General features: G+C 36.7%; 1 protein-coding gene and 1 long non-coding RNA gene across 4 annotated transcripts in view; one reads left to right on the top strand and one right to left on the bottom strand.

Annotated features, from left to right (window-relative positions):
* The window catches only part of PLPPR1 (phospholipid phosphatase related 1), a 296,409-nt gene that overhangs the window by 197,568 nt on the left and 80,610 nt on the right, over positions 1–18,231 (top strand). The window lies entirely within an intron of this gene.
* On the bottom strand, positions 515–16,965 carry LOC105376182 (uncharacterized). 2 transcript variants are annotated; one of them, XR_930182.3, is made up of 4 exons: positions 16,834–16,946; positions 12,377–12,477; positions 7,396–7,485; positions 515–574 (listed from the first exon to the last, which is right to left on the bottom strand). It is a non-coding gene; the product is annotated as an uncharacterized LOC105376182 (long non-coding RNA). The 2 variants fall into 2 exon arrangements; XR_001746858.2 differs by lacking the exon at positions 515–574 and having other exon boundaries at positions 3,490–7,485; positions 16,834–16,965.

Here is an 18,231-nt window from a genome sequence, read left to right on the forward strand (position 1 = left end):
TTTCAATACCAAGCAAGTAGCCAGGGCTTGAGTGTGCCTTAGTCATTACAGAGATATATGCCAGGGAAAACAGCTGAAGCTACTGAAAGTCACTGATTGTTCTTGTTGTCATAGGCTGTTTGTGCTGCTATAACAAACCACCATACACTGGGTGGCTCATAAACAAAAGAAGTGTGTTTCTCATAGTTCTGGAAGCTGGGAAGTCCAAGATCAAGGCATTGATAGATTCAGTGTCTGGTGAGGGCCCTCTTCCTAGTTCATAGATGACTGTCTTCTCCTTGTGTTCTTATGTGGCAGAAAGGAGTGAGAGAGCTTGCTGGGTCTCTTTTATAAAGAAACTAATCCCATTTATGAGGGCTTCAACCTCAAGACCTAATCACCTCCCAAAGATCCCATCTCTTAATACCATCCCTTGGAGGCTGGGATTTCAACATATAAATTTGACACAGCTCTTGTGTTTTATCAAAGCTTATATTTTTTTAAGTTGTTATACTGGTATACCTGAAGGGGCAGGAAGAGAAGAGGCATGTCCTTGAGGGCCAGAAGGGAGAAGGAAGGAGCATATTCCTCAAAACTAGAAAAGAGGAACAAAATGATTAGGTCTTTCTATTAATGGAGACATATGTCCTGTTGGGTGGCAGATCTTCTGTGAGGTAGCGGAACCTGAAAGGTGATGACCACATGGGGGCACCAAAAGAGGCTGAACCTTGGACCCTGCAACTCCAAGCCCCAGCAAAGGTGCCTGTGCCCTAATTGTGACACAGAAGCAGCAGAGCCATGGGAACTTGAAGGGACTTTGTGGGCTGCACACAAAGGGCTGCAGAGCTAACCAGTATAGATCAGCACCTTGAGGGCCTCTTTGATGCACTAGGATCCCGTAGGGGAGCCCCAATAATCACGACTGGGAATACATTTCCTGTGGCCCAATGTGATGGTGGCTTCAATGCCATACATACATTCACTTTAAAAAATAAAAAAATGTAAAAGTGTTCCTTTTTCTCTGCAACTTTGCCAGCATCTGTTGTTTCTGGACTTTTTAATAATCGCCATTCTGACTGACATGAGATAGTATCTCATTGTGGTTTTGATTTGCATTTCTAATGATGAGTGATGTTGAACGTTTTTTCATAGGTTGGTTGTTGGCTGCATGAATGTCTTCTTTTGAAAAGTGTCTGTTCATGCCTTTTGCCCACTTTTTAATGGGGTTTTTTTCTTGTAAATCCATTTAAGTTCCTAGTAGATTCTGGACATTAGATTAATAGATTGCAAAAAGTTTCTCCCATTCTGTATGTTGCCTGTCTTTAACATTTTCCTTCAAAAGAGTTTCCAAGTGAATTGTAGGCCAGCAGCTCAGGCTATACATAATTTCATTTTGAGGTTAAACAACCCCCAAATCTGTTCATTTTTCATTTGACATAATGAAAACAGGAGAACCCACAGTTATTCAGAAGATGTGAAGTTTCTAGTTTTTCAATTTTGTTCCTGTGTTTTTTGTTTTTTGTGATGGAGTCTCACTCTTTTGCCCAGGCTGGAGTGCAGTGGTGTGATCTCAGCTCACTGCAACCTCCACCTCCTGGGTTCAAGCGATTCTCCTGTCTCAGCCTCCCAAAGTAGCTGGGATTACAGGCATGTGCCATCACACCCGGCTAATTATTTACATTTTTAGCAGAGATGGGGTTTCACCATATTGGCCAGGCTGGTCTAGAACTCCTGGCTTCAGGAGATCCACCCACCTTGGCCTCCCAAAGTGCTGGGATTACAGACACAAACCACTGCTTTCAGCCGGCTTTCCTTTTAACTCAGATCAATCTGACAAATTCAAGATGACTGCCTAGGATGTTTGAGATACTTTGTTATTGCTGTCAGGAGCACACACACATGCACACACTCCATCAAGAAGTTTAGGGAGAGCAGGTGAGAAAAATAATGTTGCAAACTCCCCTCACCCACATGCCCACGGCAGGTGTCTCCTTCCAGGCCTAATATAAGCTCCCTCCACTGACCAAAGCTGTGGTTCAAATGCTCCTCGTACACAGTAGGGATGCAGTGGAACAAACACTGGATTTTAAAAGCAAAGCGTGAGGTCCACATCCTTTATTTGGATCCTAGTTTCTTTAATTCCTTCACCTGTTAATGGATGTGATACCTGCCTCACCAACTAGAGGGTTGGTCAGAATATATCACACTTAAAAGCGCGGTGTAAAAAATTTTTAAAGACATTGTCAAAGAATAAGTATATAAAACAGACAAGAAGGAATTAAGTATAGAGGGTAAAATGTAAAGAAGTAGAAAAGGTAAATAACTTAATAAATTTAAACAAAAGAAAAAAACTGGACAGAGGTTGATAGTAAATTCCAGTGGAACTATTGGGGATGTGACGTATTAGGGAAATGAGATTATTTAAAAGCAGAACCAATTGAGTACACCATAAACGCTAGACAGGAAAGGGGGAGTCATAATCTAAAACAGTTAAATAGTGAATTTTGTGCAGAAGTTGAAGGCAACTGGACAAAGTAGCAGCCGAATTTTTGGGAGAGTAGATTGACTAGAGAAGACCAATAGGAAGTTAATAGAAACTCGCAGGAGAAAAATACAAAATAAGTGAGTTGAATGGATAAGACAAGGAAAGATTCCCCCCTCCCACCCACCCTCAAGTCACTGTCTTATTTGCCTAGGAGTTAATATAAAGTGTTTCATGGGTTGGAGCCCCCAAGGAGATTCATCTGACCATTCCTATGACCTGCCTTGTTCAAATTGGTCAGTTCTAAACTCAGAATAAAAAAGTTGTTAGGTCTGCTTCTGGAAGTTTGTCTTGCTTGTTATCAGATCAAGGGTTTGATGTTGGATCAGAGCCACAATGATACATTAATTCACAAGTGTAATTGTATATTGAAATGGCAAAGTGTATCTGCAGTCATTCAGTAAAAAGAAAAACAGTGCAGTGTGGTATTCAAGGATTAGCTGTGTTTATCATTTTGCATCTTATTAAATTTGCAACATTCCCAAGATCTCAGAAACAGAAACAAAAGCTAGTTCTCATGTGTACCCTGTAGCCAATTTTGGGGCCCTGATTACCTATTCCATGAGAATATACAAACTTTGAGAAATTCACACTTTATTTTTTTCCATTTATAAAACCAATACATATAAAATGCAAAAAAGAAAAACTCATCAAATGTTTAATCATTCATAGGAATCCATTTCTAATAATTTGATGTATTTCCTTCTAATATTTTCTAGGCATATTTTATTTCATGATTTCATGCTGTATTTCACAGATAAATTTTTTTAAATTTATCTTTATAATAAAAAAGGGCATTTAAAATACTCTTTTAAAATAAGGTGTCCAATTCTAAAATGCTGTGTGCATTTGAAAACTTTCATCTTTGAGTTTCTACAACAAGATCTTTAATAGGAAGTAAAATTCAGCAGCAAAACTGACCATAAATTTACAGAACCCATTTGAAGGGTCAGAGCCAGCAAAGTCAGCAGATTCTAAAGCCTCTCCAATTTCTGTGCCTTGCCAAGTGACTGAAGTGGAGAGGCAATTTGACTATTGCCTTCTGACTTTAATTAATGTTTAATACTCAGTGGCAAACGTGCACTTCCTCTTGTAAGTTCTCATTAAGTTCTTTTTGAATCAGTTAACACTCTGTTTATAAAGATGTGGGTATTTTCTCTTAATTACTGTAATTTTGACTACTGCTGTAAAAATCAGTTCTCCATGTCACACTGTCAGAGATCATTACAGATGTATACAGGCTTCTCCCCTCCCTCTCCTGGAACCAATCCAGTCATCTCTGGAAATTAAATGCATTAAAAGGTTTAATAAAGAAAAGGAAAATCCAGACATATCATATCTCATTTCAAACCATTCCAGAATAAAACCAGGATGTATTCATCAGGATGCTGAGATGTATTGTTTAAACATTAAGGATATCGATGCAGAGTTCTATTAATTACAATAAATTATTGTAAATCCAATTCATTCCACTGAACAAGGATGAATTGAGATGACTGATGCTCACAGAAGCACATTTTTGATTGTTGATATTTCCTTTCATATGGAAAGACACCCGTAAGGGCATAAACCCTGGCCTCTGTCCACACCTTCAGTTGTTCTTCCCCTGGGATGCAATAAAGTACACGATTGCCAAGTTTGCAAGAAAAACTAGGTATGCATAGCTCAGCATCTTCCTTTCTCCTTCCCCTTGGGAGCCAGCTACCACAGGAAATATGTGTTCTAGTCTGTTCCTTCTGTGTGGAAAAGGACTGTGGTTTTCTAGCACTATCTATGACTGAGTAGGCACATCTACCTGATTTTGTGGTTCAGTATTAGGAGGTCCACCTAAGTCTCTAACCCAGGCTTTAGAAGTAATGAGGGACTATTTTGATCTCTCTCACACCTCTCTCAACTGATTCAAAACCCATCGTGGGCTAAAGTGGGTGCTATTTTATCAACACCACCAAAACACAAAGGCTAGTTTCAAAATAAAAAAGAATTAAAACATCAGACTTTTAGACATTATTAAAGTTTTTTTTTTTTTGAACTAGTCATTCTCTGCTCTGAATTTGCAGGTTTTTAAAATTTATTTATTTTTTTTCCAGTGAATTCTGCTGTACTCTCTGCCTTGTAGTGTTTAATTCTGGATCTATTGAATAAAAAGGAAGGAATCTAGCTGTCTGGCCAGAATTTTCTTTGGCAGGAGGTTGTTATTCCTCATGCATTGATATTTGTCCTCTGTCATATTAGGAATTACTTTCCCTATTAATAATGACTTGATGAGGTTAAGTGAATTGTCCAAGCTTACACAGCCATTTAGCAGCAGAAGAGGGGTTTGAACTGTCCAGCTCCAAGGCCAGAGTTTTTCTTCAGGAAAACTTTCACTGTATCCCTTCCTACAACCCCTACACCATGCCCAGTCCTTTCACTGTCATGACTATTGCGGGAAGGGAAAAAAGAAACAGAAAATGGTGCCCCAATTAAAAAAAAAACAAAAAAACTTGTAAGAGAGCAGTGGGAACCATCTGTGGCCTGAAGTCTCCTGGCTATAAATGAGATCGTTTGTTTTTTTTTTTTTTAGTTTTGGTTTCTTTCTACCCCCAAGCAGGTTAAGCCATATACATCAAGCAGAGATTTAGCACAAATTCTCCTATTGCAAGAGTTTAATTTTCTCAGGTACTTTTGAAAATGGAGGAAGATTCCACATTGTTTTTTAAAATGTCTTATGTGATTATCCTATTGATTGGGGCTAACCAAGGCTCTTTTCAATTGCAAAACAAATCTGATGACCTTTTTCTTTCGAATTTGTTTAATGGCTTTGAAAATGTTACTACAAAAGTCAAAATGTCTTGAGTTTACTACCCAGGGAATTCTCACCCTTGACAAAGATTCATTTGTGTCACCACAATAATAAAACCCATATATTAGAGAAACATCAAAGTATACTTTATTTTATTTTAGTGAACTTTGCTCATTGTTGATTCACTTGCTTTAAAGTAGTCGATTTTCCTTCCTGTTGCTGTATGCAGCATCAGAGAGAAAACCAAGTTTATGCTAATCCATATTGACACAAATATTCTGAATTTCTCTCATTATCTTCCTTACATATTTTTACTTTTTCTATCTTATACTTCAAACTCCCTATTCTTGATCATCAAATTATGTGGCCTGGTTAAATGTAATTTTCAAAGCATTACACTTTCAAAGGTAAATTTTAAAATCACATACAAACACACATTTCAGCACTTTTATGCTTGCAGAAGCATATTGCCGTGGAAAAAGGCCTAAGTGCAGCCACAAGTGAATGAACAAAATATTTGAGTACAGTTAGTGACAGGAAGTTGAACTGATTTGTGGGAGGCCAATTTTTCTGGTGCCGTTTTATTTTTTTAATGTCTTCGAAAGTAAACAACTGATTATCCAAAAGCATTCTTTGCAGGTCTTTGAGCCTCACTGAGAAATTCTGGAATATATCTCATCTGCTCTCCTGGTTCTGCAAAAACTGGTTCAAGTAGACCAGTGGCCTTGGAGTGTCTGTTCTCACTGTGGTGCTAGTGTCACTGGGACAACTGGGCAACTGGGCATCATGACATAAAAAGGCTACATGTTATTGCTCCTAAATTGTTCTGTTTGGGGAGCTTTTTTCAGGTTAAGTAGATAATTGTATCCTCTTCCTCCTCTTTTTTTTTTTTCTTAAAAAGAGAAAAAAAATAATGAAGAAATTGGGGTTAAAGAGTAACAAGCAATTTGTCCAAGGTCATAGGTCTAATGAGTAGCAGAGCCTGGACCTTCTGATTACAAATCTGCTTTTTGTACTGCTCAGCACTGATTCACATATCACAATAGCCTTGGGCCTATAATCACATCCCTAGTTGCCTGCCTGCTGAGCTACATCTGTGTTTTCATGGAGAGATTAGAATTATACCAGCATTTCAACCCCATCACTACCTTGCCCTAGCTATGAGGTCTTGGGCAAGTTATTTTTTCTCTGTGAACCTCAGTTTCCTCAATCAGTAAAATGGGTATAAAGGCACTCAACATTACGAGGGGCTTTTAAAGAAAATGTCCGGTTGTTCATAGGTACCTAAAGACTTCCCTTTATCTTATTAACTTTCTTTTGGCTTATCTGACTCCAGCTAAAATAAATATGTGTCTGATCCTACACTGAACAACTTTCTTACCTGATCCAATCACCGAAACTTCCCCATTCAGGTCAGCATCTGAGCACTTCAGATTCCAAACCTGTGTTGGAATATACGTCTCATACATAGGACTAATCTTTCCAAATAGACTTGAGTTAGCTTTCAAAGGACATTTAGATTAAGCCCAGAATCTTTTTCTGAACTGAAATGTAACTGCTACTCAACATATATTTCATTTACCAACAGATGGCTGCATTTAATTCTGTTTACTACCATAACAAGCTTCTCTAAACATAGACATGCCAAACTGGAGGTAGGTGTGTGATTTTAGGGCCATTCTTCATTTACTTCTGAAAGTGTAATGATTAAAAAATTATTTTGTAACTGGGGAAAATGGAATAATGTTTACAAAAAGAGAAAGTTTGAATCACAATCTTAAAATGAAAGTGAGCTCATCAGAAGGGTTGATGGTGGTAGAGATGGTACCCTGTGCCTTGGGCCCTACCAGAATGACCCAACGGGGATGGGAGTTGTCATGGCTTTAATGTTTGTCCCCTTCAAAATTCATAGTGAAATTTAATTGCCATTGTAACAGTATTAAGACGTAGGACTTTTGAGATGATTAGGCCATGAAGGCTCCACCTTCATGGGTGGGATTGGTGCATTATATAAAGACAAACTTGGCCCTCTCTTGCTATTGCTCTTTCTCTCACCTTCTGACATGTAATGTTTTAGCAAGAAGGTCCTTACCAGATCCCAGCTCCTTGATATTGGACTTCTCACCCTCCAGGACTGTCCATTATAAGTCTCAGGTATTGTGATACAGCTGCACAAAATTATCTAAGACAGAAGTGGAGACCAGAATCTCAGGACCTCAGTTATTCAGAAAGTGGCCAGAACAACTTTGCATTGGAGGGTATGAGGAAGACAAAATTACCCTTTAAACATGGTTTGAAAATAATTTTTGGGCTTTGCCACCATGTAATTCCAAAGTCAGCTAAGGCTACTTGACCCTTTAATATCATTATAATACTGACTCAGTTCTCCATTCTGTACTTGCAGAGGTTCAGAGTACTACCCAAGATTTCTGTGAATTCTTGGGGTAGGGAGAAGGTGGTGAGAGGCAAGGAATGAGAGAAGGATTTACATTTACATGGTCTCCTCTAGGTTCATGGTCCTGATTCTGCATATTCAGCTTAGTTTGTGTGACTTCTCTGTCATTCAAGTTCTTATCCTTTTCCACGTGTCATCAACATGGAGCCAAGGTGTTGTTTTCTCCCCCCTACTGTTTGTAACATACACATACCCACTCACAAGGCAGTTGTTTGTAGAAAGTATAAGGAGAAGAGGGTGAGTTTACCTTGAAATGTTGCAAATAACTTCATATTTAGACATTTTAGTTCTAAAAAGTTTTCTCATCATGTGGAGAGTTTTAATGGCTACTTCACCTCCAGAGAACTATCTCAATGGCTTCCCACCTTTTCTCTCTCCCAATTTACAAATTTATAATTTATTAAAAATGCAGAGCCAATAGCCCTCCCTTTTATTGACTTGGTTCGTATCATGTCCTTAGGGTTTTACCTTCTCTCCAATCTCCAAGTGTATTTTTTTAAAAAAAAAACAAACAAAAATTCTATACCGTAATGCTATAAGGGCTTAAGTTGAGATATATATCTAAGGCATTAGAGAGAGAGAGATCTCAACTAGAAATTCCTGTTCCAGGAGTTCAGAATATGGCCCCATAGGCCAAGGCAAATTTAGACCAGAATACCTAGCCTTTGTCTGCCAATTACTTAGAAGTGACTTCATTGATTTGTGTTAAATAAATGAAGATAAAATCTGAATGAACCTTAAAAGTGGGTGAGAATTAGTCTGCCTTCTTATTCTCCAAATAGACTTAAATCAGAGAAATTTATTGATGTGTATCTGTGTTTAAATGTATCCTTACTTTTTGCTGTTTCTTAAGATTCAGAATTTCATTAAGTCTCAGGATTCTAATTTCTAAGTTATAAAACTAACATATTCTTGAGTACAGGGATTTTTTTAAAAAGCTGGGATATCAAGTTTTTCTATAAACTATGATAATTCATACATAATTATACCTGACATCTAGCATTTATATCATGGCAGATGTGGAAAGAATTGCATTTATTTTTGATGGTATTTAACAATCTTTCTATCCACGAAAAATTGTGGGTCTTGTGTGTCTAAGGTAAACAAGTGCAGCTCTTTAGCTCATCTCTGCATTCCACATTTGCATATTTTACTTTTTCCCCCGATTCCTTTCATGATTGTTTGACTTTGCCTATATGGGTAGAAGGGGAGAGGGAAGAACAGACCAGTATTTGTTGTACTGAATAAGTTTCGAACACAGGGAGAACTGTTTAATTTCACTCTCATGACGGTTAGATGGGAGCTGTAAGCATTAGTGATGCTAGTTCACCATGATGCAAATTCAGCTTTCTTCTCAATTCCTGAGATTGGAAGTGCTGAATCTGCAGCTGCTGTGATATTAGTCTCTCTTTAACAAAATTTTTTTAAAACCTCTAGCATCTTTCATTTATCTTGGAAAAACCAAATATGTACATGCTGTACTTTCATTTTCTAAAGTTTCATTTAGAACAGATGACATGTGAATTTTTTCCAAGAAAAAAAATAGTTTCTTATCTGCTTTGACTTGTTGATTATTTCTAAGTGCTCAATTACCGAGAGCACTTCTTGGGTCTAGCTCTTCTGCTGATAGAACAGCAATGCCCCCTACTGATAAATTTCTGAAAACCTTTCCTTAGAAAATGAGAACATAAACCTCTCACTTACAGGCACAGTATTCACCAGCTTCCTCTGAAAAAGACGTGTGCTTCTAGGCTCATCTTAGTGTGACTTATTAGCCTCTCATTAGTGTAATTTCCTGAATTAGTCTTTGCTAAAGCAGCTATGAAGTTATTCCATGCTTGGCTGGCTTTATAAAAAATAATTTTAAAGATGTCAGCAGAGCTTTATACCTGACAAAATGGGAACCAGAACTATTTGATTATAGTAATGTAATTCCTGTTACATTATATTTATATTTAGAGTGGGAGAGTTCCTCATAATACCTTCATATTTGTCTTACTGTTTCTTCAGTATTTATAGAATTTCTGGTAGAGAGACTTTAAAGCCTGTTGTTCTAGATTTACTTGAATGCCTTCTAGTATTCTCTCCATCAAGTAATTGCCAGGGTTGTGCTTGGTTTTCCCTAGCAATAGAAAACACACTACCTATCAAAGCAAACTATAGCATCTATCTTTAAACAATTCCAAAAAAAGTCAATGCAAATTTTTTTCTGTTTAACTTCCAAATACCTATTGGACCAATTTTACCCTCTGGCTGTTATATTAACTTTTGCTGTAACAAATCTAATTTCTCATAATTCTTCTAATATTTGAACAGAGGAATCACATCCTTCTCCTGGCATTCTTCTCTTCCCTAGGAAAAGTAATAACTATCAGAGAAAAGGCAAATATTTCTATAAATGTGGACCAAAGGACAGAATGCCAGTAGAATATATAATTCCTATTTTTAAATCATAGACTAATTGTTACCCTCTCTCTCTAAACTCACACACACACACACACACACACATTTTCTTCATAGTTACCATAATACACTTGAAAAAATGACCATCTTTTTTTTCCTTTTTTAGTTAACGTGTAATAACTGTACATATCTATGGGTTATAGTGATATTTTGATACATGTATACAACGTGTAATGATCAAATCAGGATAATTAGCAAATCTAATACTTTGAACATTTTTTTCTTTGCATGTGAACATTCAAAATCCTCTCCTCTATCTTTTTGAAAATATGTATTATTGTTAACCCTCAAAAGCAAATGTAACAAAACCAAAAACAGACAAATAGGACTTAATTAAACTACAAGCCTTCTGCATAGCAAAATAAATAATCAGTAAGCAAACAACCTATAGAATGGGAAGAAAATGTTTGCAAACTATATATCTGACAAAGTGTTAATATCCAGAATCTACAAGAAACTCAAGAAAAACAAACTCATTAAAATGTGGGTAAAGGACAGGAACAGGTATTTTTCAAAAGACAACATACAAGTGTATCTTTAAATGTGTGAAAAATGCTCAACATCACAAATCATCAGAGAAATGCAAATTAAAACCACAACAAGATACCATCTTACACCAGTCAGAATGGCTATTATTAAAAAGTCAAAAAACAATAGATGTTGGCTAGGATGTGGAGAAAAGAGAACACTTATACACTGTTGGTGGGAATGTAAATTAGTACAGCCTCTGTGGAAAACACAATGGAGATTTCCCAATAGAACTGAAAATAGAACCACCAAATGATCCAGCAATCTCACTACTGGGTGTCTACCCTAAGGAAAATAAATCATCACATAAAAAAAGATACCTGCGCTGTTATATTTATCACAGTACTATTTACAATAGCACAGTCATGGAATCAACTTAAGTGTTCATCAACTGATTGAATAAAGAAAGGTCGTGTGTGTGTGTGTGTGTGTATAGCAAAAATTAAGGACACATTAAACACAGATACACATCTATAAATTTCTCTGATTTAAGTCTCTTTGGAGAATAAGCCTATATATACATATAGGCTATATATATATTCCATTGTGTATTCCATTTTATAGATGAGTAGTATTCCATTGTGTGCATATATATATATACACACACACACACACAAAATTCCATCATATATATACATATATATATAGCCTATATATATAGTCTATATCTATATATGTGTGTGTATATAGCCTATATATATATATACATATAGGCTATATATATATTCCATTGTGTATTCCATTTTATAGATGAGTAGTATTCCATTGTGTGCATATATATATATATATATATGCTATATATGTGTGTGTGTATATATATATATACACACACATATATATATACACACATTTCTCTGATTTAAGGCTATTTGGAGAATAAGCCTATATATATATATATGCTATATATATATACACACACACACAGGCTATATAGCCTATATATATATATATATATATATATGCTTATTCTCCAAATAGACTTAAATCAGAGAAATGTGTATATATATATAGCCTATATATACGTGTGTGTGTATATATATACATATACATACATATATATAGCCTATATACGTGTGTGTATATATATACATATACACACATATATATACATATACACACATATATATACCCTATATATATGCCCTATATATATACCCTATATATATACCTATATATATACACCTCTCTATATATACCTATATAGAGAGAGGTATATATACACCCTATATATACATCCTATATACATACCCTATATATATATAGGGTATGTATATAGGATGTATATATACCTCTCTATATATAGAGGTGTATATATATATATGGGTATATATATAGGGTATATATATATGATGGAATTGTGTGTGTGTGTATATATATATATGCACACAATGGAATACTACTCATCTATAAAAAAGAATGAAAGAAAGTCTTTTAGCAACATACTTCGATGGAATTGGAGGCCATTATCCTAAGTGAAATAACTCAGAAACAAAGTCAAATACTGCATGTTCTCACTTGCAAGTGGGAGCTAATCAATGGGTACACATGGACGTAGAGAGTGGATTAATAGACATTGGAGACACTAAAAGGCGGAAAAATAGGAGGAGAGTGAGGGTTGAAAAATTACCTGTTGGGTGCAATGTCTGCTATTCAGATGATGGGTAGGCTAAAAGCCCAGACTTCACCTCTGTGCAATATATTCGTGTCACAAAACTGCACTTGTACTCCCTAAATACATAAAAATAAATTAAGATTATTGTTAGCCATACTTATACAGAACACCAGAAGTCATTCCTGCCATCTAGTTGTAGCTTTCTATTCATTAACCAACCTCTCTTTATCCTCCTTTCCTTCTTACCCTTCCAGCTTCTAACAATCGCAGTTCTATTTTCCCCTTCTATGAGCTCACTTTTTTTTTTTTTAGCTCCTACACATGCAGTGTTTCTCTTTCTGTGCCTGACTTAACATAATATCCTCAAGGCTTACTCATGCTGAATAAATAGCTGAATTTCATTGAGTGTGTGTGTGTGTGTGTGTGTGTGTGTACATATATACCATATTTTCTTTATGCATTTATTTGTTGGTGGACATTTAGGCAATTCTGTATCTTTGGTATTGTGATTAGAGTGGCAATAAACGTGGGGGTGCAGGTATCACTTCCATATACTTCCTTTCCTTTGGATGAATACCCAGTAGTGGGATGGCTGGATTGCATGGTAGTTTTATTTTTAGTTTTTTCAGAAAGTTCCATACTGTTTTCTACAATGGCTGTACTAATTTACATTCCTACCAGCAGTGTATGAGTTCCCTTTTTGGGGACTAGAGGTGGGAGAGAGGGAGGTAAGGGTAGAAAGACTGTTGGGTACTCTGCCTAGTAATGGGTGATGGGATAATTCATACCCCAAATCTCAGAATCATGCAATATATCCAGGTAACAAACCTATACATGTGCCCCTAAATCTAAAATAACAGTTGAAAAAATAAGATTTGATTCCTAAAAAACAGTAACAGTTCCTTTTTCATTGCATCCTTGATAGCAGTTATTTTTTCATAATAGGCATTCTAACTGGGATGAGAAAATAATTCATCGTGGTTATGATTTGCATTTCCATGGTAACTAGGGATGTTGAACATTTTTTCATGTACCTCTTGGCCATTGGTATGGCTTTTGAGAGATGTCTATTCGGATCATTTGTCCATTTTTAATCAGATTTTTATTGTTGAGTTATTTGAGCTCCTTGTATATCCTGGATATCCCCTTGTTAGATGAATAGCTTGCAAATATTTTCTCCCATTCTACAGGTTCTTCCTTCACACTGTTGTTTCCTTTGCTGTGCAGAAGCTTTTGAGTGTGATATAGTTCCATTTGTCTATTATTTGTTGTTGTTGCCTGTGCTTTTGAAGACTTACCCATAACATTTTTGCCTAGACCAATGTCCTAAAACATTTCTCTTAAGTTATCTCCTAGTAGTTTTATAGTTTCAGGTCTTACATTTAAGTCTAATTCATTTTAAGTTGATTTTTGTAAATGATGAGAAATAGGGGTATAGTTTTATTCTTCCGCCTATGGAGATCCAGTTTTTTTCTGCATCACTTATTGAAGAGGGTGTCCTTTTCCCAGTGTATATTCCCAGCACCTTTGTTGAAAAATCAGTTTACTCCGAATATGAGGATTTATTTATGGGTTCTCTGTTCCATTTCATTGGTCTGTATGTCTGTTTTTATACCAATACCATGCTGTTTTGCTTAGTATAGCTTTGCAGTATATTTTGAAGTCAGGTAGTGTGATGTCTCCAGCTTTGTTATTTTTGCTAAGTACTGCCTTGGCTATTCAGGGTCTTTTGTGGTTCCATACAAATTTTAGAATTGTTTTTTTCTCTTTCTCTGAAGAATATCATTGGCATTTTGATTTGGGATTTCATTGCATCTGTGGATTTCTTTGGGTAGCACAGTCATCTTAACAATATCAATTCTTCTAATCTATTAGGATGACATGAAAAAATTACTGTCTTTGAACTAAGTAGAAAAGAGACAATTTCAGCTTCTATGAAAATGTGACTTGAATGTTCTTCGAAAGATTCAATCTCACGGTTCCTTCATAAATGCCTTGAAATTGTTATCCAACCTCCCTTCTTAGCCCACATATTTTTAAGCAAGCAGTGTCAGACGAGGATTTCCAATAAAGTTGGGAAATTACTGAAGTTGGATTAAGGTTTAGGAAAATCAGCCAATGTCTTACAAGGCCAACTGGATCTTTGTTAAATGCTTGTCATTCCATTGAGTGCCCTGCCACTTCAGGCAGATGTAGAATCAGGATCCTGGTGCTTTCTGTGTAAGTCTCATTCCCTCCTTTTATTTGCAGTGCTATTTGCTAAGTGTATAGGTAGCCAATAATGAAGGCATTGCCATACTTTACTTGAACACGGTAAAACAAGCAATGACCTTAAGCCATTAATAACTGGGACCAATAGCCACACAAGTGTTCATGGGCTTGTTTTGCTACCATGTCTTCAAAGTTGCTTTTTGCTATTATAATTTTCTAAAAATAATGCAAGATGGTTGTATGTCTTGTGTTCTTTCCAAAGCAGACACTGAGATGGAATAGGTACATGAAAGGTTTATTGGGGAATATACATGTGAAGAGAGAGGCAGCAGTACTGGGCAAGTGGAGACATTGCTCATGATGCAGACAGATGAGGTCTCTGTGAGCCTAAGGGAGTTGTTCTAGGGCAAAGATTGCTCATTCAAGGAGTCCTCAGTTGTACAGAAATGGCTAGACCAGGGGTGTCCAGTCTTTTGGCTTCCCTGGGTCATACTGGGAGAAGAACAATTTCCTTGGGCCACACATAAAATATACTAACACTAACAGTAGCTGATGAGCTTTGAAAAAAATCACAACAAAATCTCATGTTTTAAGAAAATCTATGAATTTGTGTTGGGCCACATTCAAAGCCGTCCTGAGCCACATGCAGCCTATGGGCTGCTGGCTGGACAAGCTTGAGATAGACCTTCACACCCCATTTTGGTTAGCCATTGACTGGGGACACCTAAGAATGTGGCGTTGGCTACCATTGCCTTATGGCAATGGCTACTCAGCCATTGGCTGGGGCCTTATCTGAAAAGAGCAAGCTCACAGCTCAGATATGAGGTAGACGACCCTGAAGGAGCTAACAGCTGGAGGGTGCCAGATAATCACATTCCTTGTAACTGGGCAGCAAAACCTTTCTTGAAGGAAGATCTGAGTGGTAAAAGTCAGTTTTTGGCACAACGGTTTATCGTTACCAAATCAATCAATCAACATTTGTAGTGGTTGCTTTAGCTGTTTCTGGGTAACAAACCACCCTATTTTAATAGTTAAAAGCCCCAAATGTAATCATTTATTTTTTAAAATGCATTTTATTTTGCACAGAAATTTGTGGATCAGGAATTCAGAAAGAATCTGGCTGATTGGCTCTTGCTTAGGCTTTTCATGTGGCTGCAATTATCTAAGTTATCTACCAGGGAATCCAAAATGGTTCAGAAGTCATTGGCAGTTGAAGCTGCCTGTTAGCTAGGAGTTTGCTGGCACTAACAGCACCAACATGTGTCCTCTTTATGAGCCTTGGGCTTCTCACAGTATGAAAATGAGTGAGTGACTTTGGAGTGTGGGTACTTCAAGAAGAGACATTCCAAGAGACCAAGGGAGGAGCTGGAATTCTTTTTTTTTTTTTTTCTCTGATATAGTCTCGGAAATCTTGCCATACCCTTTTAATCCCATGCTATTGGTCAAGCAAACCACCTTCAGGGAGAGGAGAATTAGATTCAACCTCTCAGTGAGAGAAGCAGCAAAGAACAAATTCTTTGCTGTCAACTTTGATCTTCCATCTTTGTGTTTTATTAGAATAAGAGTGCTTGCTCTCAATTCTATTACAGTAGATACTGTTAAAATTCTTTTTGATTTGTGATGCCTCACCAAAATGATTTCCATTTCTTCAATCATTGCTTCTTTGACATGATGTTGGTGCCTGATTGTTCTCTTAATGTTTTTCAGTTTATATCTGCCTTAATCTAAGAGCAGCATCATACCAAGTATTCTAAATATAGACTGATCACCCTACAGAAAAGCAGAACTATCACTGCCTATATGTTCTAGAACTGCTAATGGAGCCATGGGAGACAGAAGCTTTTGTGGAAGTGATGCCACAATATTCATGCACATTGAGTTAACCTATTCCAGAAACATTAATTAAGTGCTCACTGTGTACTGGTAACTATAAGTACTGAGGCTACAATGATAACTAGAACTTGGCAACTTTCCTTGAGGAGCTCACAGTTTAATGGTGAGCATTGTCATGCAAACAAGTAATTATTGTTCTCTGTCATGTGCTATAACAGGAAAATAAGGCTCTAAGTGAACACAGAGGAGAAAATTTCTAATGCTTCCTAGAAAAAATAAAGAGGTTTCGCAGTGCCTGTGAACACTTATTATGCCTCAAAGAAATTCATTAGGCAAAGAAATGAAAGAAAGAATAATTGTAGCAGAAGGAAAAGCATATTAATAGGCACAGAGGTATAACAAAGTGAGACACATGTAGGTAACCTTACCTGAAGTAGAAATGTATGATTCATCAATTGGATATTTGCAGGCGACAGCTATGAGATGAGGTTGGAAAGGTAGAGAGGACCCAGGTCGTCAGAATCTTAAATTTCACAGTAGGGAGTTGGGATTTTTATCCTCTAGAAAAAGGACATCAATTAACTTTTTAGAAAAAAAATATATTAGTGGAAGTGAAGCAAATGGACTCTTCTGGACCAGAGCAAGACCCAAAGTTGGGAATCTAGCTAAGAGACTTGTGCTGGAAAGAAGTGATGAGGGCCTGAATTAAAGAGCAGCAGATATGAAGAGGAACAGTTTTGAGTCATATTAAGAATATTAAATTGATCAGATTTACAGTCTGGCTAAATATGGAGTGTAGAAAAGAAAGGAGGACTCATGGATGACTCTCCATTTTCTGTCTTGAGTAACTGTATAGATAGTTGTCTAATTTTCAGAGAAGGAAGTACTGTGAGAGGAGCCTTCAGGAGGTGGAGGGAGGGAACATTATGGTTCAGATTGGAAAATCTTGACTATAAGGTGCCTAAGAAATTTCTAGGAGGAGATGTTAAGTGTGGATTAAGAAATAAGGGTCTAGAGCTCAAGAGAGTGTTTTGGGCTGGTACTCTAGGTCTGTGAATCATCAAAGTATAGGTGGTAGTGGAAGCCACTGGAAAAGCTTAGTAGAAAGTAAGGTCTAGAACTTAGGAAAGGGGTTCACATGATAAATGAATATTTCAACATACAAGAGATAGCTGAAACCCTGGGAGTATATGACATTCCTCCCAGCACAGTAGGGAAAGAATACGGAGTTGATGGTAGAACCCTGGAAAACATGACCATTTGAGGTGTGCACATGAGGAGAATTGATGAAAGAGACTTGAGATGGAATTCTGAGAGCTAGGAAAATAACCCCAAAAAAAGGGAGGTTAGGGCAGAGATATATTCAAGAAAAAATGGAGTGAACAGGAGTGTCAAATGCTGCAGAGACATCAAATAATGTTAGGACTGAAAAGTGCCTAATGAATTTTTCAATTAGGAGGTTATTGATGACTTTAATGAGATGATTTGAGAAGAGTGGAGGAAGTCAATGAAGTTAACCCCCATGTAGCTTTGCAGTGTAGGAATGTAAACAGATTGAGTAAAGGCAGTAAAAATTTAAAAGAAAAAAAATCAAAGCATGGCTTTATTTTTTGTTTTGTTTTAAATGTTGAGATATGTTCAGAAGCAGTGAAGATGAAGAGATTCAAGATTCAGAAAGACGAAAAATAATTAATAGGGTTACAAGAAAGCTAAATTAGTTGACAGCTGAGAATGAATAATTTTTTTTTTTGGTATTTCTGTTAAGTTACATCTACGCTCTCTCATCATCACCCAGTATCTGAGCATCACCCAGTATCTGAGCAACA

This window comes from Homo sapiens, chromosome 9, assembly GCF_000001405.40.
Source record: "Homo sapiens chromosome 9, GRCh38.p14 Primary Assembly".
NCBI lineage: Eukaryota > Metazoa > Chordata > Mammalia > Primates > Hominidae > Homo > Homo sapiens.